The sequence below is a fragment of the Homo sapiens genome, chromosome 2 (genome assembly GCF_000001405.40).
Source record: "Homo sapiens chromosome 2, GRCh38.p14 Primary Assembly".
Classification (NCBI taxonomy): domain Eukaryota; kingdom Metazoa; phylum Chordata; class Mammalia; order Primates; family Hominidae; genus Homo; species Homo sapiens.
In genome coordinates, this window is record NC_000002.12 from 110,279,262 (window position 1) to 110,300,697 (window position 21,436).

At 47.6% G+C, this 21,436-nt stretch overlaps 1 non-coding gene and 1 pseudogene across 3 annotated transcripts, besides 1 other annotated feature; both read left to right on the plus strand.

Moving 5' to 3' along the window:
- The first annotated feature begins 344 nt into the window (after positions 1-344).
- Positions 345-8,245, plus strand: LOC128966597 (MAL-like protein; annotated as a pseudogene). 2 transcript variants are annotated; one of them, NR_189744.1, is made up of 3 exons: positions 345-512; positions 4,418-4,543; positions 6,358-8,245. The product of NR_189744.1 is annotated as an MAL-like protein, transcript variant 4 (transcript). The 2 variants fall into 2 exon arrangements; NR_189745.1 differs by lacking the exon at positions 4,418-4,543.
- MIR4436B2 (microRNA 4436b-2) lies at positions 5,592-5,682 on the plus strand. Its single transcript, NR_049830.1, has one exon. It is a non-coding gene; the product is annotated as a microRNA 4436b-2 (primary transcript).
- Positions 20,349-21,089: an enhancer, noted in NCBI's record as "H3K4me1 hESC enhancer chr2:111057187-111057927 (GRCh37/hg19 assembly coordinates)". NCBI's record gives its function as "activates a minimal SCP1, AML or CMV promoter by ChIP-STARR-seq in naive H9 embryonic stem cells {active_cell/tissue: H9 hESC(naive)}" and the evidence as "EXISTENCE:reporter gene assay evidence [ECO:0000049][PMID:30033119]".

Sequence of the window (21,436 nt, forward strand, 5' to 3'; positions counted from 1 at the left end):
ATTTTCCATGTGAAATATCCTGTTTTGAATATTGGGAACTTATTCAGAATTGTTTAAAAAGTGTATATGCCAATACTGCTTGAGCCAAAAGACACATTCACAAGCTAGATTTGGCTGAGAGTCCCTCTGTTCATGACCTCTGCATTAACCCCTTGAATTTTCTAACAATCGGACCTGACTTTACCGTGACTCAGCGGGGCCAGCCTTCCTTCCCCATTTTCCTCTTGGTTCCCTCCTAACTTCACCTGAACTTGTAACTAGAGACAGAAAAGAGACACCCTGCAAAGGGAAACATACTCCACACTAGTTAATGAAGCCCCTTCTTTTATGCTTTTATCTTCCAGATATTTGGGTTCTTGGTCTGGACCATGGTAGCCGCCACCCACATAGTATACCCCTTGCTGCAAGGATGGGTGATGTATGTCTCACTCACCTCGTTTCTCATCTCCTTGATGTTCCTGTTGTCTTACTTGTTTGGATTTTACAAAAGATTTGAATCCTGGAGAGTTCTGGTAAGAACCAGCAGCATGGCTCTTCCTGGGTGGACGTTCTGGGTTGGGTGAGGACAATTGGCCTTTCTGGGCAGGGAGGGATCCTGGGCTAGGCTCCTATGGAACCAAGACTTTTTATCTTACCATTTTTACTACCACGCTAAAATGAAGACATTTATCTGCAAGCGTAAATAATTCCTGGTATTCCCCTTCACTGGCTTCCCTGTTAGGAGAATACACAATGACCTGTGATCAAGCATATTCTGATGTGTTTCCCCTAAATTTTCTTCCTGGTAAAATCCTTGGAGCAACACTGAAGAAAAAGCTAGTAGGAAAAAAATCACTCCATTCTCAAGGCCCTAACACAATCCCTGCGACAGGGTATTTCTTCCATATCCCACATGAATTATATGCAAAGTATATATACATATATACGTATATACATATGTATATATGTATATATATGTATATATATACTTTAATTGTACTCTACAAATAATTTTGGATGTAGATGCTTTCATTTAATATTACATCACTAATTTTTATTTATCACGTCATCTCAAAAAACCATTTAAAACTGTTCCACACTGAACAATTGAAGACATATTTAAAAGTACAGAATATTGTATTATAGGCCCTCATGTAGCCATAACCCAGATTCCAGCATTATCAAGACCTTACCACATTTGTTTCATCTAGCCTTTGTCCCCACTAAGGAATTTTAAAGCAAACACCAAACATCATGCCATTCTATTCCACACACTTCAGTATGTTTCCAAAAAAACTCCGCAAACTTTCTCACATTATCACATGTATACGAAGTAAACAATTCCTCAGCATACCTAAGACAGTATACAGTGGTCCCCCATCTCCGGAGGATAAGTCCCAAGACCCCTAGGGGATGCCTGAATCCTCAGAGAGTACTGAACTCCGAATTTGCTATGCATGCACTTCTTTTTTCTTCTTCACAATTTCACAGATAGACAATTCATTCTTACTGTAGATCTTAACAACCTCAGCATATTTTTTTCCTTTCCTTATTAAGCTGAAAACTTATACTTTTTAACTTAAAGAAAGCACCCTATGACTTCTCTTTGGCATATCCAAATTGCCAGCATCACTACTCTTGCAATTTGGGGCCATTATGAAGTAAAATAAGGATTCTTTGAATGCAAGCACTGCAGTGCCACAACAGTTGATCTGATAGCCCAGATGAGTACAAAGCGACTAACATGGGTGGCACAGACAGTGTAGACATGCTAGACAAATGTCTGATTCACATCCCAGGTGGAACAGGGCGGGACAGTGCAAGATTTCATCATTGTACTCAGAAAGGCACACATTTAATTGTTAATTTCTGGAATTTTTCATTTAATATTTCAGACCAAGATTGACTTTGCGTAACTGAAATATACTGATCTTTATTAATCTGCCATTGCTTACGACATAGATATTACATTAAAAACACTGTGTATTAGTCTATTCTCACATTGCTATAAACAACCAGAGACTGGGTAAATTATAAAGAAAAGAGGTTGAATTGACTAGTTCCTCATGGTTAGGGAGGCCTCAGGAAACTTACAATCATGGTGGAAGGTGAAGGCTAAGCAAGGCATGCCTTGCATGGCAGCAGGAGAGATGGGGGAGGGGGAAGTGCCATACTTTTAAACCATCAGATCCCATGAGAACTCATTCACTATCATGAGAACAGCATAGGGGAAACTGCCCCCATGATCCAATCACCTCCCACCAGGTCCCTCCCTTGATACATGTGGATTACAATAGGAGATGAGATTTGGGTGGGGACAAAGAGCCAAACCATATCATTATACCACTGGCCCCTCCCAAATCTCATCCTTCTCACATTTAAAAATACAATCATGCCTTCTCAACAGTCCCCCAAAGTTTCAACTTATTCCAGCATTAACCCAAAAGTTTAAGTCCAAAGTCTCATCTAAGACAAGAGAAGTCTCTTCTGCCTATGAGCCTGTAAAATCAAAAAGCAAGTTAGTTACTTCCAAGACACAATAAGGGTACAGGCATTGGGTAAATGCTCCCATTCCAAATGGGAGAAATTGGTCAAAACAAAGGGGCTACAGGCCCCATGCAAGTCCTAAACCCAGCTGGGCAGCCATTAAATGTCGACATTCCAAAATCTCCTTTGACTTCATGTCTCAGATTCAAGTCACCCTGTTACAAAGGGTGGGCACCCAAGACCTTGGGCAGCTCCACCTCTGTGGCTCTTCACAGTACAGCCCCTGCAGCTGCTTTCACAAACTGGCATTGAGTGTCTGTGCTTTTTCAAGGTGACCAGTGCAAACTGTCAGTGAACCTACCATTCTGGGGTCTACAGGACAGCTCTTCTCACAGCTGTACTAGCCAGTGTCACAGTGGGGACTCTCTGTGGGGGGTCTGACCCCACATGTCCCTTCTGCACTGCCCTAGTAGAGGTTCTTCATAAGGGCTCCACCCCTGCAGCAGACTCTGCCTGTACATCCAGTCATTTCCATACATCCTCTGAAATCATGGCAGAGGTTCCTAAACCTCAATTCTTGCCTTCTGCATGCCTGTAGGTCCAACACCATGTGTAAGCTGCCAAGGCTTGAGGCTTACACACTCTGAAGCAATGGCCCAAGCTGTACCTTGGCCCCCAGCTGCTGGAGCTGGGGCAGCCGGGTTGCAGAGTGCTGTGTTCCAGGACTGTGCAGAGCAACAGGGCCCTGAGCCTGGCCCACAAAACCATTTTTCCCTCCTAGGTCTCTGAGCCTGTGATGGGAGGGGCTACTGTGAAGATCTCTGAAATGCCCTGGAGATATCGTCCCCTTTGTCTTGGGGACCCTCATTACTCATGAAAATTTCTGCAGCTGACAGCTTGAATTTCTCCCCAGAAAATATGTTTTTCTTTTCTAACACATGATCAGGCTGCAAATTTTCCAAACTTTTATGTTCTGCTTCCCTTTTAAACATAAGTTCCAATTTTGGACCATCTCTTTGTGAATGCATATGATTGTACACTTTCAGGAAAAGTCAGGTCACATCTTGAATGCTTCAATGCTTAGAAATTTCTTCTGCCAGATACCCCAAATCATCTCTTTTAAGTTCAGAGTGCCACAGATCTCTAGGACAGGGGTAAAATGCCACCAGTCTCTTTGCTAAAGCATAGCAAGAGTGACCTTTATTCCAGTTCCCAATAAGTTCCTCATCTCCATCTGAGACCACCTCAGCCTGGATTTCATTGTCCATATCACCATCAGCATTTTGGTCAGAATCATTCAACAAGTCTCTAGAAAGTTCCAAACTTTCCTACATCTTCCTGTCTTCTTCTGGGTACCCCAAACTGTTCCAACCTTTGCCCATTATCCAGTTCCAAAGTTGCTTCCACATTTTCAGGTATCTTTATAGCAGTGCCTGACTCCTGGTACCAATTTTCTGTATTAGTCTGTTCTCACACTGCTGTAAAGAACTACCTGAGGCTGGGTAATTTATAAGGAAAAGAGGTTTAATTGGCTCACAGTTCTGCATGGCTAGGGAGGTCTCAGGAATCTTACAATCATGGTGGAAGGCGAAGGGGAAGCAAGGCACACCTTACATGGCAGCAGGAGTGAGAGAGGGAAGTGTCACACTTTTAAACCATCAGATCTTATGAGAACTCCCTCACTATCACGAGAACAGCATGGGGAAACTGCCCCCATAATCCAGTCATCTCCCACCAGGTCCCTCCCCCAACATGTGGGGATTACAATTCGAGATGAGATTTGGGCAGGGACACAGAGCCAAACCAAATCACACTGCAAAAAAAAAAAAAAAAGGCAGGACTCTAGGGGGCTGGCCTGCCTCATTTGCTCATTCTTTACTGCTATGTAGCCAGAGAGGAAAATGTTCACCTGATTGATGTGGCCATGCGTGGCTCTGCTCTGCATTTCCAGGACAGCCTGTACCACGGGACCACTGGCATCCTGTACATGAGCGCTGCCGTCCTACAAGTACATGCCACGATTGTTTCTGAGAAACTGCTGGACCCAAGAATTTACTACATTAATTCGGCAGCCTCGGTGAGTGGGCTGGCCAAGGACAGCAGTCTTGCCTGGAGGATGTTTCGTGCAGGAGGCCTAACTTTGCTTGTGCTGTATAGACCCTGAGCCCTCAAGTGGAAGGAGCCATGGGGGCAGGGGATAGGGATGTGTGTCCCTGTAAACATGTGCACCCACGTTCAGGGGTCCTCTTTTACCTTCTATTGTTCCCACTCCAGCTTTCCTCTCTCTTAGACACCCCCCACGCTGTCTGCAGAATTTTCTTTTTCCAAAACACAAATTGGAACAGATGTCTCTCTCCTACTGAAAATCCTTCAATGGCACCCACTGCCTTTGGAATGGGGCCCGCATCCCTCGGCATGGCTGAACTATTGAGAGATGAAGCAGGGAAGGGGAAAGTGGAATGTCGAGGTCTCAGGGGAGGAGGCATCAGGGAAGGCCCTGTCAAGAGGACAGAAGGAGGCAGGGGCCACCAGGCAGTTACCCCTGCTAAGGTCCCACCAGGCAGTTACCCCTGCCAAGGACCCTCTGTGTGCTCAAGGGCAGCCAGGAGGGTGGTGTAGCTGGGACAGCTGGCCATGGAGGATTGCAGGGGCCGTTGCTGGTCTTGCAAGTTTAGGAAGTTAAACTCACCTGATGAGGAGGGAAGGGAGGCAGACAGGCCAGAAGGCAGCTGAAATATCTTGTGGCCACCCCAGAGGGTCACAGTGCACTCCACAGTGGGTGGCATTTACCTCCATCTAACCCATGTATGTGCTACTCATCTATCTTGCTGCTATCTGCTTCTTATCTCTCAAATGTAAGCTCCATGAGGGCAGGAATTTTTGAATATTTTCTTCACTGTTATACCCACAGTTGCTCTTGAAGGAAAGCAGGTCCTTAAAAGATATTTGTTGACTGACTGACTGAATGAGGAGCGTGTGAGTGGACAGTGGGGCAGAGTGGGGCTGGGATGTTTGGCAGGGCCTGAAAGGTATTGAAGGTGACGGCCCTACCCTGAGAAAAGAGCAGAGCCATCATACAGCTTCAACGTGGGGCAACGGGATTGTGTTCTCCCCATGAGTGAGAAGTGTCCTCACTTGTCCACTTCTGCCTGCCCTGCCCAAATGGTGGAGCAGATTCGAGGGGCAGGGCAGGAAGAAGTGGACAAGTGAGGCCATGAGGAGTCCTGCCGAGGGATGCCGGTGGCTGAGACAAGGGAAAAATGAATGTCCCAAGAGCTAGGCAGGGAAATCAGTAGCCTTTGGGGTGGCTTTGCATATGGCTGGCAAGGGAGGCAGGAGGAGCCAGGGGCCACAGGGGTCAGGCTCAGGGAGTGGGGCGAGAGGAGGACCCTGGGGCCCACTGGGCTTGTCAGGCTTGTGAGGAAACGTCAGGGGCTCAGTGTGAGCCAGGAAGAGCTGGAGGATGTCTGAACATTCACGAGGAGCTGATAAGCAGCCGCTCAGGGCAGAGTTCTGGGCCAGCGAGGGGAGCTGTAGGAGTGTTCAGAACACAGATTTGCTGGAGGTGGGCAGAGGAGAGCGGGCCTCGGGCAGGAGGTCAGCGTGGGATATGGGCCCAGAGCTGTGGTGGAGGTGAGCCTGCTTCACAGCCAGGTGCAGATGAGGTGGAGACTGCAGTCGGGGCAGGACACCAGGACGGCCCCAGGGAGGCCCTGATGGAGAGTTTCCAGAAGAGGGAGTTGTTGGCCAGGGGTTGCTGCCCTCAGGCCACGCAGGAGGCGAGGAGGCAGGGTCATGCGTGGCCTCCTGGGCAGTGGGGCTGAGGGTACCTGAGGGGTGGGCAGGAGCTGGCGCTGCTGTCTCTAACAGTCACTCTCCACCTCCTTCCAGTTCTTCGCCTTCATCGCCACGCTGCTCTACATTCTCCATGCCTTCAGCATCTATTACCACTGATGCACAGGCGCCAGGCCAAGGGGGAAATGCTCTTTGAAAGCTCCAATTATTGGTCCCCAAAAGCAGCTTCCAACGTTTGCCATCTGGATGACAAACGGAAGATCCACTAAAACGTCCACGGGATTAACAGAACGTCCTTGCAGACTGAGCGATGACACCACACTTTGTTTGGACATTTAAATTCACTCTGCTGAATAGGAGGAAGCTTTTCTTTTTCCTGGGAAAACAACTGTCTCTTGGAATTATCTGACCATGAACTTGCTCTTCTAGACAACTCACATCAAAGCCCTCACTCCACTAATGGAGAATCCTAGCCCCACTAATGCCAAGTCTGTTTGGGGATTTTGCCTCAGCTATGGGCTTCCCTAGAGTAGGTCTAGGGGAATACTCAGTCTGATCTTTTTTTTGTTTGTTTTATTTTGTTTTTTTTGAGACGGAGTCTCGCTCTTCCTCCAAGGCTGGAGTGCAGTGACGCGATCTCCACTCACTGCAGGCTCCGCCTCCCGGGTTCCCGCCATTCTCCTGCCTCAGCCTCCCGAGTAGCCGGGACTACAGGCGCCCACCACCGTGCCCGGCTAATTTAGTTGTATTTTTAGTAGAGATGGGGTTTCACCGTATTAGCCAGGATGGTCTCGATCTCCTGACCTCGTGATCCGCCCGCCTCGGCCTCCCAAAGTGCTGGGATTACAGGCGTGAGCCACCGCGCCCGGCCTGATTCTCTTAAAATTGAAGAGGTGCTGCCAAGGCCTTCAGATCTAACGCAGATGCATAGACCTTGTTCCTGGTACTTGTTCAGCCTGTGCTGGGGAGCCGTGGTCCCGAGTTCCCTGGGAGGCTGACAGGGTCAAGCCACCCTGCCCACCACCCTCCCACTTCCCCTCCCCTTTCCTCTCCAGCATTAGGATTCAAGGGAAATTTGCATGAAGCCAATTTTGAGGGTAGACGTGTGGGGAAAATAAATCATTATACAGTAAGACCTGGGGCTTGAGGGGTGGGGAATGGGGAGGGAAGGGCATAGCCTGCTCCTCCATGAGTCTGACATCTCGGAAACTGAGCAGCTGCCGGACGCCTGGGTCAGGAATCCAAGACCCCACCTCTTAAGGACTGGTTCCTCAGAAAGCACCCTCAGGGAAAAAGGTGAAAACATTACATCCGTGGATTCTCCTGCCACAACCGCATTGGAAGAAAAGGCTGCCGCAACATCTCAGCGAGGAGTGAAGGACCCATGTCCCAGGAACCGCGCTGCGCCACCTGCACTCACCCCCCTCACATTCTCTTAAGCACCCGGTGGCCCTCCGAGGCCTGGCGGAATGGTGGTGCCCACGGGGTTGGGCAAGGGCTCACCAGGACCTCAACGGGCAAAGTTGTGCACACTAAAATATCAAATCAAGGTGCTTGGTTTTAAAGTAAATGTTTTTCTAAAGAAAGCTGTGCTCTTCTGTTGACCCAGACGAATAGGGCACAGCCCTGTAACTGCACGTGCCTTCTGTCATTGGGAATGAAATAAATTATTACGAGAAAGGGACTTGTCCTAACTGGTTTGAGGCCTTACAGTTTTGTATCTACATTTTTCCCCTCCTGGGGTTTGCGGGGACAGGGACAGAACTACAGGAGTCATGGGAAAGAAAATTCTGGCTTCACTACTGCTCACTGCTCACTTTCTGATCACTCTGATACTTTTTTTTTTTTTTTTTTTTTTGCAACCTGATACCTTGAAAAGCTTCTATGTGTCTCTCCTTTTGTTGCCTGGCAGCTGTCTAGGATGATCACTGATTACTATTTACTAAGTAGCCACATGCAAATAAAAGTTGTTTGGTAAAAAGGAGCAGTTGGTCGACTTCATCTTGTTAGCATCTGGAACTGGCCATCAGGTACTAGGTGTTGTCAGTAATTTCAAGAAAAGCACCCCTTGGAGCATTTCACAACCTAAGTTCTCTGAGGGTGGGATCCCAGCCCACCCGGCCTTGCTTCTAGAGCAAGAGCGAAGGGAGGTCACATTTGTCTCCAGGGCTTCGGGTTTATAATGTCATTTGTACTTCAGTAAGGACAGTTTGGGTGCAAGTTCCGGAAACCAAACTCATACAGCTTAGGCAAAAATGGGAGTGCACCAGTAGGGGCTGGGAGAGGTGAAGAGGGCTCAGTAGGAGGAGAGCTGACCCCCGCATGGCTCTCTGCTGCACACTGGCCATCGTCTCTTGCCACACTGCAAGACTTGTCCAAGTCTCAACAAACACCGGCCTCCCATCCCACGTGCAGACACTAGAGGCTCAGCCTGGACCCCCAAAGTCCATCCACCCACAGCTGTTGCAGTGCTGCTTTCTGCCTTGAGGGGCAGCCCTCCTCTCAGCGTAGGGGTCTCCCCAGGCTCTTGTCTTCTGGAGGGAACACCCCGAGGCTCTTGGCAGGCTTCTCAGAGGCCCCAGCAGGAGTGGGCTATCAGGGAACCTGCCCCGATAGTCATGTAGGTTCTTTTCTATTTTTCCTAAGTGTCGGCTGGCTTGAGAAATAAAGGGACAGAGTACAAAAGAAAAATTTTAAAGCTGGGCATCCAGGGGAGACACCACATGTCAGTAGGTTCCGTGATGCCCCACAAGCCGTAAAACCAGCAAGTTTTTATTAGGGAGTTTCAAAAGGGGAGGGAGTGTGCGAATAGGTGTGGGTCACAGAGATCACGTGCTTCACAAGGTAAATAGAATATCAGAAGGCAAATGGAGGCAGGGCGAGATCACAGGACCACAGGATGGAGGCAAAATTAAAATTGCTAATGAGGTTTCGGGCACCATTGTCATTGATAACATCTTATCAGGAGACGGGGTTTTGAGAGCAACCGGTCTGACCAAAATTTATTAGGCAGGAATTTCCTCTTCCTAATAAGCCTGGGAGCGCTGTGGGAGACTGGAGTCTATTTCACCCCTACAGCCTCGACCATAGAAGACAGCCACGCCCAGGGGGGCCTTCTATAGACCTACCCCCCAGGTGCGTATTCTCTTTCCCAGGGATGTTCCTTACTGAGAAAAAGAATTCAGCGATATTTCTCCCATTTGCTTTTGAAAGAAAAGAAATATGGCTCTGTTCTGCCTGGCTCACCAGTGGTCAGAGTTTAAGGTTATCTCTCTTGTTCCCTAAACATTGCTGTTATCCTGTTCTTTTTTCAAGGTGCCCAGATTTCATATTGTTCAAACACACATGCTCTACAATTTGTGCAGTTAACGAAATTATGACACGGTCCTGAGGCGACATACGTCCTCCTCGGTTTATGAGATGACAGGATTAAGAGATTAAAGTAAAGACAGGCATAGGAAATCACAAGGGTGTTGATTGGGGAAGTGGTAAGTGTCCATGAAATCTTCACAATTTATGTTTAGAGATTGCAGTAAAGACAGGCATAAGAAATTATAAAAGTATTAATTTGGGGAACTAATAAATGTCCATGAAATCTTCACAATCCACGTTCTGCCATGGCTTCAGCTGGTCCCTCCATTTGGGGTCCCTGACTTCCCATAACAGTGGGCTCTGGCGTGAGCTTCACAGGCTTTCTCCTTTCCAGGTTCTTCACTCGTCTTTTCCCCTGGGTTTCCCAGGATCCTGCACCCATCTTGTCTCAGGGCTGGCTGGCTATGGGGAAACTTAGACCCAGACACAACCAACTCCTGAGGCCCCAGCATGTGCTGGGCACTGGGGTGCAGTACCTTGAGACACAGGGTCCCACCAGCCACACCAGATGCCCCACACTGAGCAAGCAGCTCTGACTGGCAGCTTTGTCCCAAGACAGCCAGAGCCTCTGCTTTGGCCAATAACTGGGCCATGATCTTTAAAAGATAGAGGGAAAAGCACAATAAAATGTTAAAATTTGAAAAACAAATGATATCCTGATCTCTAGGGTTGGCCCCAGTGAAACTGGCAGCCCTACTTGCCTCCCCAGAAGGAATCTGCAGGGAAGCACATCTCAGTAATAACTAGATGCTGGACTTGAGAGTCAAAGGCCAGCTCCTGTTCAAAGGGAGGGACTGTGAGGGAGCATTGCCACTTCCTCCCCCAAATCTGCAGAGCTCAGATCCCAATTTGTGCTGCTAGATTCACTCAGTTGGATCTGGTCCTCCTTGGCACACCAGCAGGTGATAAACTCCCTTGCTCCAGAGCCTCTCTCCCTCCATCAGTCATCTCCAGTGCTGCATGTGCCTGTGTCCAAGCCTGATTCCTGACACCGTGCCTACCCATCACCCTCCATCACTTCCTGGGCTGGGAGAAGGGTGTGATGTTTCCATGGTGATACTGGACCACCCCCGTGCAGAGGCTTAATCACCATGAACTTTTACTAATTCAGTGGCCCAGGACTCTGTGTATAGGTATGAAATGGGATTGTAAACCCCTCCATCTCCTATGTATGTTTGTGTTCTCAGAGAAGGAATGTTGGAATTAGTGGCAAAATACCTGGGGTCAGTCAAGGCACCACGTAGATGCCTCTTCTGTTCTAACTTACCTGCCAGGAGGGTCCAGGAAACACACTGGTTTCTGAGTCCACATCTAGGATCTCCATCCCCTGAAGGGCCTCCCTTGCTGGGTCATGGCGACTCCTTAGAGGCATCATGTCCTCAACTGACAGATGAGGAAACAGTCCAGATTTCACATCCAGAACACATGGCAGTCAACACTTAGATTATGCCTTCTTAAATGCCAACCTCTGTATTTCTCCACCTTTTCTTCCTCATCTCAACCTTTAGCCATAAGAAGTTTTTAAAGGACAGACCCAGCTTATCGGAACATGCAAAACATCATCCCAGGAACATTAACTGTCCCGGTGCATTCTGTCTTCTCAGGTGATTTGATAAATTAAATGTGTGGTTTTAAGTGTCTGAAACTTCTGTGACAGTCAGTGCCCCGGACACCCATTCCTGCCTTCTCCTTTGCTAGCACACTCCTGAGATTATACTGTGCCTGGGCTCCCTGGCAGCCAGGGCTCAATTCTGGCCACTGAGACAGAAGCCAAGGTCTGCTCCAGGGCTGGGGTTGCTTTCCTGATACGGGGCTTAGACTGACTTTCTGGGGACAGAAAGTCTGAGACGGAGAGCCCTGTGCATGCAGGAAGTTTACTGCGGGGGCTTTTGGAAGATGCACCTGGGACAAATGAGGGGGCAGTGGGAAAAGCTGGCTGGCAATGAGGTTGCAACTGAGGCTGTGGCTGACACTGCAGGGAGTTCTGGAGCTGGTTGGCCCTGCAGCTGCCCTGCCTTGAGTAAAGTGGGCAGAGCCTTTGTCTCTCACGTCAGCCGGTAGGTAGTTCCCAGGCAGGGGTGAAGGCATCTGTAGCAGCTGCTCTCCCCAGCAGCTGTAGGGAATGCCTTGGCTTGAACAGGTGACCTGGGCAGGATACCACCACATCCACTACACTGCCACCTCCTCTTCCTGCCTTGGACAAGGACTTCATGGCCAAAGAGATGGCAAAAATAGAATCCCAGATGCTGGCAGCTGTTCGACCAACACCAGCCACCTCTTTGCTTGAACTTTGTAAGAAGTCCAAGATGACAAAATCCGTTTCCCACCGTGGTCAGCTCACGATACATGCAGCTGAATGCACTGCAGCCTGGTAGAAGTACTCTTTCCCACCTTCCGCTTCCTCCAAAGGCCCACCAGGGCCTTCCCTCCAAAGCATGGTCCTCCCTCAGGCCTGATCCAGAGACTCTACCTCCAGAATGGACCTGGAATTGGTCTTCTTCCTCCTACCTCCCAGCCTGCCCACACCTTCACCACTGGATACTGCAGAACCTACATCCCAGAGTCAGGCAGCATCTCCAAAGACTTGGGCCAGTCTCTCAGCCATGGTCAGATTCTGCCCATCTCTGGCCCCCAATTCTTCCCTGCCCTCAGGATAAAGTTCGAACCTTTTGGAAAATGACCTCCCATGCCTTAATGACAGGTATGACCTTGCCTTATGTCCAGCTGCAGCTCTTGCTACCCGCATCGCCCAGCCCTGATGGTCCAGTGTCAGCATGGCAGCTGCAGCCAGCTCAGCCCTGCTGTTGCGTCCGTGCACACGGTGGACATTCTATTCCCTCTCCCTGGGAACATGAAGCCCTCTTCTTGTCTATATGAGAAACTCTTGTTATCTTTTAATCTCAAAGTCTTCCTCAACGCCCCCAGCCCTTCTGTGCAGTTAATCAATCATTGGCTCCTTGGACACCTCTGCACCCGGGTTGCGTGCTGTGCTGTGCTGTGCTGTGCTGTGCTGCGTTACCCACTCATGCAGTGCTGGTCTCCCTCACAAGACTATGAGATTCCATGAGCAGGAATTTGGTTCTTGGATGTTTTTATCATCTTTGCCCTTCCCTATGCCCAGCACCCACCCCTGACCCCACCAACCTCAGCTCTGAGTGCTCTGCTCACACTGTTCACAGGAATGGGGACTTGCAAGAGCCACAGCCGGGCTACAGGGACGGATGACATGGCTGGCTCTTAAGCCCTCCTAGTCCTCACCCCCAACCCACGGTCTACATCTCAGGGGAAAAGGGATGTTCTCTGCTTCTTTCCTTTTCTCCTTGGCCTGCACTATGGTGAATTAGTTTCTTTCACTCTAGCTTCCCATCTGTACAAAGAGGAAGAGACTGGCCTGCCACTGCCAGGACCCGGTCCAGCTTTGGTGGCCCTACAGGGCCATGAATCATGCACAGCCAAGGATGTCTTGGCTGTAGGGAAGGCTGGCCAGCTGACGAAGGGCCCAGCTTGATTCCAGGCCACCCCTGGCTCTGGGCCCAGCACTAGTAGGTGTTGACTTAAAAGGAAGAGTTTGAGGCGTAAAATATAAAGAGTTTACTTGAGCCAAAGTAAGGACAGCTGCCTGGAAGACTCAGACCCAAGTAAGCTTGGAAATGAGCTTCATTGGGTCTTTGTTATAAGAAGTTTTTTAAAGGCAAAAGCGGGGACAACAAGTGGGCCGATATAAATCCATCAGGAATTCTCATTAGTTTATAGAAATAACCTTGAGGCTGAGTACGGTGGCTCACACCTGTAATGCCAGCACTTTGGGAGGCCGAGTCGGGCGGATCACTTGAGGTCAGGAGTTTGAGACCAGCCTGGCCAACATGCCGAAATCCTGTCTCTACTAAAACTACAAAAAATTAGCAGGGCGTGGTGGTGGTGCCTTTCCCAGCTACTCAGGAGGCTGAGGCAGGAGAATCACTTGAACCAGGGAGGCAGAGGTTGCAGTAAGCCAAGATTGCGCCACTGCACTCCAGCCTGGGTGAAAGAGTGAAACTCCACCGCAAAAAAAAAAAAAAAGAAAGAAATAACATTGATTCATGATTGGCTCTACATTGTGAGGCCATACTGCGTGGTTTAGTGCCTGGTGTGGCTTTATTAGGTTAATTTATGGCTCCTTATCCTTGGCAAGCAGTTTCAAGAGCTGAATACGTAGCTCAAGGTTGATTACTATCTCATTTTATTGTCTCTCTGGGCCTGATAATTTAAATGGACTCTCATACCTCAGGTAGAAGTTCTTTTCTTTCTTCATAGTGCTGATAAAAATGTGTTAAGTGCCCCCAGAGCCCCAAGGACCTGTGTGTGAGGACCTGTTCTGAGGGAACTGCTAGAACAATGGCTTTAAAAATGCCAGAGCTGAACTGGAGAAGCAGCAGGATTTGGGGGCCAGGAGTAGCAACTGTGGCCTTTGAGTGAGATGGAGCAGGGGTCTTCACTTTCCCCCTGGAGGAAGCTGGAGCTGGCTGGAGCAGCTCTGCTCAGGGCATCTCCTTCCTCTGCCTTTGCTTCTTATGTGAAGACTGACATTGTGACATATAATAAGAAATGGAGCTCCTAAAACCCTTGGGATCTCCAAAGTGATATATGGCTTTTTGTAACTAACGAGATGACTAGGAGGGTGGGGGCTCCTGGGTGGCCTCGGGATGGTGCTGGTTGTGAGGGAAACCAACTGTGTGATTAGACGGTTGAAATACTCAGCCCTACTGACTGCCGACTTCTGGTTTGGGAGAGGAGCTGGGGATGGAGTTAATCACCAGTGGCCAGTGATTTAATCAATCATGCCTACAAAATGAAGCCTCCATTGAAAAATGCCAACATGATGAACACCTCCAAAGTGATGGTGTTGGGAGAGCTTCCGGGTTGGTGAACATGTGGAGGTGATGGGAAGGTGGTGTGTCTGGAGAGGGCATGCAAGCTCCATGCCCCTTCCCCATACCTGGCTCCATACATCTCTTCCACTGGCTGTCCCTGAGTTTTATCCTTTTTATTATTATTATGTCAGTAGTCTAGGGGGAGCAGGCAGCATTTGGATGCGTGGACAAGTGCTATAGCGGTGAGTTCTGAGATTTTGATGCACCCGTCATTCTTATGTCTTTGCATCCCTGAGTTGTATCATTTATAACTAAACTGTTCCCATGAGTTCTCTGGGCCATTCTAGCAAACTATCCAGTATAAAGAGGGGGTTGTGGAAACCTCAAGTTTATAGTTGGTCAGAAGCACAGGTGCCAACCTGGACTAGAATTTGGCATCTGAAATGGGAGTGGTCTTGTGGGACTGAGCCTGTAATGTGTGGGATCTGATGCTAACTCCAGGTAGATAGTATCAGAACTGAGTTAAATTATAGGACACCTAATTGGTGTTCCAAGAATTGGAGAAGTGGTTGGTGTGGGGAAAATGCCCGCACTTCTGGTATCAGAAGTGAAGCATTGAGAACAGCAGTAGGAAGGAGACAGGATTTACATCTCAGAAACATGCTGTCACTTTTAGGAAGAAGGGAGCATGGGGAATGACTCTCTCAGGGTCAACTCCCACAAGCTACCTGACCCAGGCTCCAAATTTAGAGATCAGGGAAGCAGGAAGGAGAACATGAAGGAGGCCCCTTCTGCTTCTTTCTGGCTTTGCCAACTCAGGAAAGTCATGCCACTGCTGAAAGACTCAAATCTTTGTTCATAAATTGGGATGCGTAAGGATTCCTACACCGTATGTCAAGGTGTAGTTACATCAGGGTGGCTAATGCCATCCTGTCAAGGGGTTATTCCAAGGTTAGGTTAAGTCAAGGTGCAGTTAGGTTAGGTGTAATTACAACAAGGTGTAGCAACATCAAGGTGCATTCACTTCAAGGTTTAGATATGGCAAGAGGTAGTTATGTCAAGGCGCCATCATGTTAAGTTGTAGTTATGTCAAGGTGGGGGTTATGGACCGAATTGTGTCCCCGCCGCCAGCCCCCAAATTCATATGTTGAAGCCCTAACCCCCAATGCAACTGTATTTGGAGACAGAGTTTTTAGGAGACAATTAAGTTTAAGTGAGGTCATAATGATGGGACCCTCATTCAATAGGGCCAGTGTCCTTAAAAGAAAAGGAAGAGAACTCGCACTCTCTGCCATGTGAGGACACAGTGACAAGGCTGCCACCTGCAAGCCAGGGACAGAGCCCTCACCAGGAATGGAATCCCCTGGCACTTTGATCCTGGACTTCTAGCCTGCAGAACTGTGAGAAATAAAATGTTGTTGTTTAAGTCATCTGGTGTTTTGTTATGATGGCCCAAGCTGTCCAAGACGGTAAGGTTATGCCAAGGTGCAGGTGAGAGGTACATGTGCAAGTGTGCCTGAAGTAGGTTTGAAAGCCTATGAAGGATCATTACTGATTTGCATCATCACACCTGGCAGGAACCTACCCGGTGACATTCCCTCAGCCATGAGAGGAAACAATCCTGCCGCTTTTACATTAAGATCGTGGAGCTATTACTCACTGCAGAGTTAAGGCCCTTTTTTTAAATTTTATTATTATTGTACTTTAAGTTTTAGGGTACATGTGCACAATGTGCAGGTTAGTTACATATGTATACATGTGCCATGCTGGTGTGCTGCACCCATTAACTCCTCATTTAGCATTAGGTATATCTCCTAATGCAATCCCTCCCCCTTCCCCCACCCCACAACAGTCCCCAGAGTGTGATGTTCCCCTTCCTGTGTCCATGTGTTCTCATTGTTCAGTTCCCACCTATGAGTGAGAATATGCAGTGTTTGGTTTTTTGTTCTTGTGATAGTTTACTGAGAATGATGATTTCCAATTTCATCCATGTCCCTACAAAGGACATGAACTCATCATTTTTCATGGTTGCATAGTATTCCATGGTGTATACATGCCACATTTTCTTAATCCAGTCTATCATTGTTGGACATTTGGATTGGTTCCAAGTCTTTGCTATTGTGAATAGAGCTGCAATAAACATACGTGTGCATGTGTCTTTATAGCAGCATGATTTATAGTCCTTTGGGTATATACTCAGTAATGGGATGGCTGGGTCAAATGGTATTTCTAGTTCTAGATCCCTGAGGAATCACCACACTGACTTCCACAATGGTTGAACTAGTTTACAGTCCCACCAACAGTGTAAAAGTGTTCCTATTTCTCCACATCCTCTCCAGCACCTGTTGTTTCCTGACTTTTTAATGATTGCCATTCTAACTGGTGTGAGATGATATCTCATTGTGGTTTTGATTTGCATTTCTCTGATGGCCAGTGATGGTGAGCATTTTTTCATGTGTCTTTTGGCTGCATAAATGTCTTCTTTTGAGAAGTGTCTGTTCATGTCCTTTGCCCACTTTTTGATGGGGTTGTTTGTTTTTTTCTTGTAAATTTGTTTGAGTTCACTGTAGATTCTGGATATTAGCCCTTTGTCAGATGAGTAGGTTGCGAAAATTTTCTCCCATTTTGTAGGTCGCCTGTTCACTCTGATGGTAGTTTCTTTTGCTGTGCAGAAGCTCTTTAGTTTAATTAGATCCCATTTGTCAATTTTGGCTTTTGTTGCCATTGCTTTTGGTGTTTTAGACATGAAGTCCTTGCCCATGCCTATGTCCTGAATGGTAATGCCTAGGTTATCTTCTAGGGTTTTTATGGTTTTAGGTCTAACATTTAAGTCTTTAAACCATCTTGAATTAATTTTTGTATAAGGTGTAAGGAAGGGATCCAGTTTCAGCTTTCTACATATGGCTAGCCAGTTTTCCCAGCACCATTTATTAAATAGGGAATCCTTTCCCCATTGCTTGTTTTTCTCAGGTTTGTCAAAGATCAGATAGTTGTAGATATGTGGCGTTATTTCTGAGGGCTCTGTTCTATTCCATTGATCTATATCTCTGTTTTGGTACCAGTACCATGCTGTTTTGGTTACTGTAGCCTTGTAGTATAGTTTGAAGTCACGTAGCATGATGCCTCCAGCTTTGTTCTTTTGGCTTAGGATTGACTTGGCGATGCGGGCTCTTTTTTGGTTCCATATGAACTTTAAAGTAGTTTTTTCCAATTCTGTGAAGAAAGTCATTGGTAGCTTGATGGGGATGGCATTGAATCTATAAATTTTCACAATATTGATTCTTCCTACCCATGAGCATGGAATGTTCTTCCATTTGTTTGTATCCTCTTTTATTTCACTGAGCAGTGGTTTGTAGTTCTCCTTGAAGAGGTCCTTCACGTCCCTTGTAAGTTGGATTCCTAGGTATTTTATTCTCTTTGAAGCAATTGTGAATGGGAGTTTACTCATGATTTGGCTCTCTGTTTGTCTGTTATTGGTGTATAAGAATGCTTGTGATTTTTGTACATTGATTTTGTATCCTGAGACTTTGCTGAAGTTGCTTATCAGCTTAAGGAGATTTTGGACTGAGACAATGGGGTTTTCTAGATATACAATCATGTCATCTGCAAACAGGGACAACTTGACTTCCTCTTTTCCTAATTGAATACCCTTTATTTCCTTCTCCTGCCTAATTTCCCTGGCCAGAACTTCCACCCAGATTCATAAAGCAAGTCCTGAGTGGCCTACAAAGAGACTTAGCCTCCCACACAATAATAATGGGAGACTTTAACACCCCACTGTCAACATTAGACAGATCAATGAGACAGAAAGTTCACAAGGATACCCAGGAATTGAACTCAGCTCTGCACCAAGTGGACCTAATAGACATCTACAGAACTCTCCACCCCAAATCAACAGAATATACATTTTTTTCAGCACCACACCACACCTATTCCAAAATTGACCACATAGTTGGAAGTAAAGCTCTCCTCAGCAAATGTAAAAGAACAGAAATTATAACAAACTGTCTCTCAGACCACAGTGCAATCAAACTAGAACTCAGGATTAAGAATCTCACTCAAAACCGCTCAACTACATGGCAACTGAACAACCTGCTCCTGAATGACTACTGGGTAAGTAACGAAATGAAGGCAGAAATAAAGATGTTCTTTGAAACCAATGAGAACAAAGACACAACATACCAGAATCTCTGGGACACATTCAAAGCAGTGTGTAGAGGGAAATTTATAGCACTAAATGCCCACAAGAGAAAGCAGGAAAGATCCAAAATTGACACCCTAACTTCACAATTAAAAGAACTAGAAAAGCAAGAGCAAACACATTCAAAAGCTAGCAGAAGGCAAGAAATAACTAAAATCAGAGCAGAACTGAAGGAAATAGAGACACAACCCTTCAAAAAATTAATGAATCCAGGAGCTGGTTTTTTGAAAGGATCAACAAAATTGATAGACCACTAGCAAGACTAATAAAGAAGAAAAGAGAGAAGAATCAAATAGATGCAATAAAAAATGATAAAGGGGACATCACCACTGATCCCACAGAAATACAAACTACCATAAGAGAATACTACAAACACCTCTACGCAAATAAACTAGAAAATCTAGAAGAAATGGATAAATTCCTCGACACATACACCCTCCCAAGACTAAACCAGGAAGAAGTTGAATCTCTGAATAGACCAATAACAGGCTCTGAAATTGAGGCAATAATCAATAGCTTACCAACCAAAAAGAGTCCAGGACCAGACAGATTCACAGCCGAATTCTACCAGAGGTACAAAGAGGAACTGGTACCATTCCTTCTGAAACTATTCCAATCAATAGAAAAAGAGGGAATCCTCTCTAACTCATTTTATGAGGCCAGCATCATCCTGATACCAAAGGCGGGCAGAGACACAACCAAAAAAGAGAATTTTAGACCAATATCCTTGATGAACATTGATGCAAAAATCCTCAATAAAATACTGGCAAACCGAATCCAGCAGTACATCAAAAAGCTTATCCACCATGATCAAGTGGGCTTCGTCCCTGGGAAGCAAGGCTGGTTCAGTATACGCAAATCAATAAATGTAATCCAGCATACAAACAGAACCAAAGACAAAAACCATATTGAGATATGATTATCTCAATAGATGCAGAAAAGGCCTTTGACAAAATTCAACATCCCTTCATGCTAAAAACGCTCAATAAATTAGGTATTGATGGGACGTATCTCAAAATAATAAGAGCTATCTATGACAAACCCACAGCCAATATCATACTGAATGGGCAAAAACTGGAAGCATTCCCTTTGAAAACTGGCACAAGACAGGGATGCCCTCTCTCACCACTCCTATTCAACATAGAGTTAAGGCCCTTTTTAAGAGAAAATAACTGGGGAGCCCGCTGGAGGCGGGGATCTGGCTGAGAGCTGGGTTCGGTTACTCGAATGCACCACTGGGTGGCGCCCGCGCTCCGCGCGAAGGCCGGGAGGGGCAGTCCTCGAGTGACATCAGGTGGGCAGAGCCGGGAGCCCGGACCGGCCCGTGCAAGCTCTCAGGATCTTACCGGGAAGGCACCCTATGCAGGCGCAGGAGTGACACGGAGGTGCCTGGAAGAGGGGCTTCCACTTGAAGCCCCTTTTTGCTCAGTCGGGTCACTGGGCGCCCGCAGTGTCCCAGGGCACGCCTGCGCTAAAACGGGACACCGGCTCATGCTGGCGGCTCCCGGGGCAGCTGAGGGACCGTGGCTAAGGACATTGGGGTCCCAGGGCTACAGGGAAAGAATCGTGACTGTCCACACTTTGTTAAAAGCCCACCTGTTTCCTTCATCAGCCGCTGCTGTCTGGTGTGTATCCAGGTCTCTAGAAGCTTCCAGGGGCACCTTGACCTGCCCCAGCTCCTACCCTTCCTCTCCAGGGCCCTATAAGACAAATTTACACAGGTGTTTCTCTCACCCTGGACCCGATTATTTGGCCCCACCTGCTGCTGAAATTCTGCCGCTGGGTCCAAGGAGGGGCTGCCCCAGCGAGCACTGGCTCCCACCATCTGGGACACATGCCCGTCTCTCTGTGCCTCAGTTTACTTCTCCATGTACTGAGGGACACAAAGATCCGCTCCAAGGCCCTCCCAGGTCACTACCACCTCCTAGAGAGGGGCAGAGTGTGCCCCTGGGCCACTTTCGTGCAGTGAGAGGGCACATCGTGAGGCCCGAATCAAACCCAGGGCTCCTTCCTTTTATTTTTTATTTATTTATTTTTTCAGACAGGGTCTCACTCTGTTGCAGCGGCTGGTGTGCAGTGGCTAGATCATAGCTCACTGCAGCCTTGGCCTGTGAGGCTCAAGCGATCCTCCCACCTCAGCCTCCCAAGTAGTTGGGACTACAGGTGTGCACCACCCACCTTGCTAATTTTTCGTTTTTTGTGGAGACAGATTTGGCCATGTTGCCCAGGCTAGTCTCAAACTCCTGGGCTCAACCATCTGCCTGCCTTGGCCACTCAAAGTGCTGGGATTACAGGTGTCCGTGCCCTGTCCTGGGGTCCCTTCTGAACGAGGCTCCTTTGGTGTGGATTCAGGAGACACAGATGTGGGAGAAGCTGAGATCTTCCAGGAAGGACACAACCCTGGGAGCACGTGCCTGCTGAGACAGCCATGATGTTTGCTTTCAGCCAAAGCTGGAAGATTTAGTTCTGTTGCACACATGGCTGCTGAGCATCTGCTGGGTGCCTGTTCCTGGGCCAGGGCCTCCTGCTCTCCAGAACCTGGAAGGCTGGGAGCAGAATAAGACAGATCTAGAGGCCTCACGTCTTAGGGTGAGGGGTCACCGGCCCCAGCTGGAAGTGGAGGGGAGGGACTTACTAGAGGCCTCCTAGAAAGTGTGACCTCCCAAAAGTTACTAGAATGATTGCTGGTCAAGCACCTGGACCCTTCTGGTCTACGATCACCCTGGTGGAGCTCTGGAGGATGAAGGGCAGC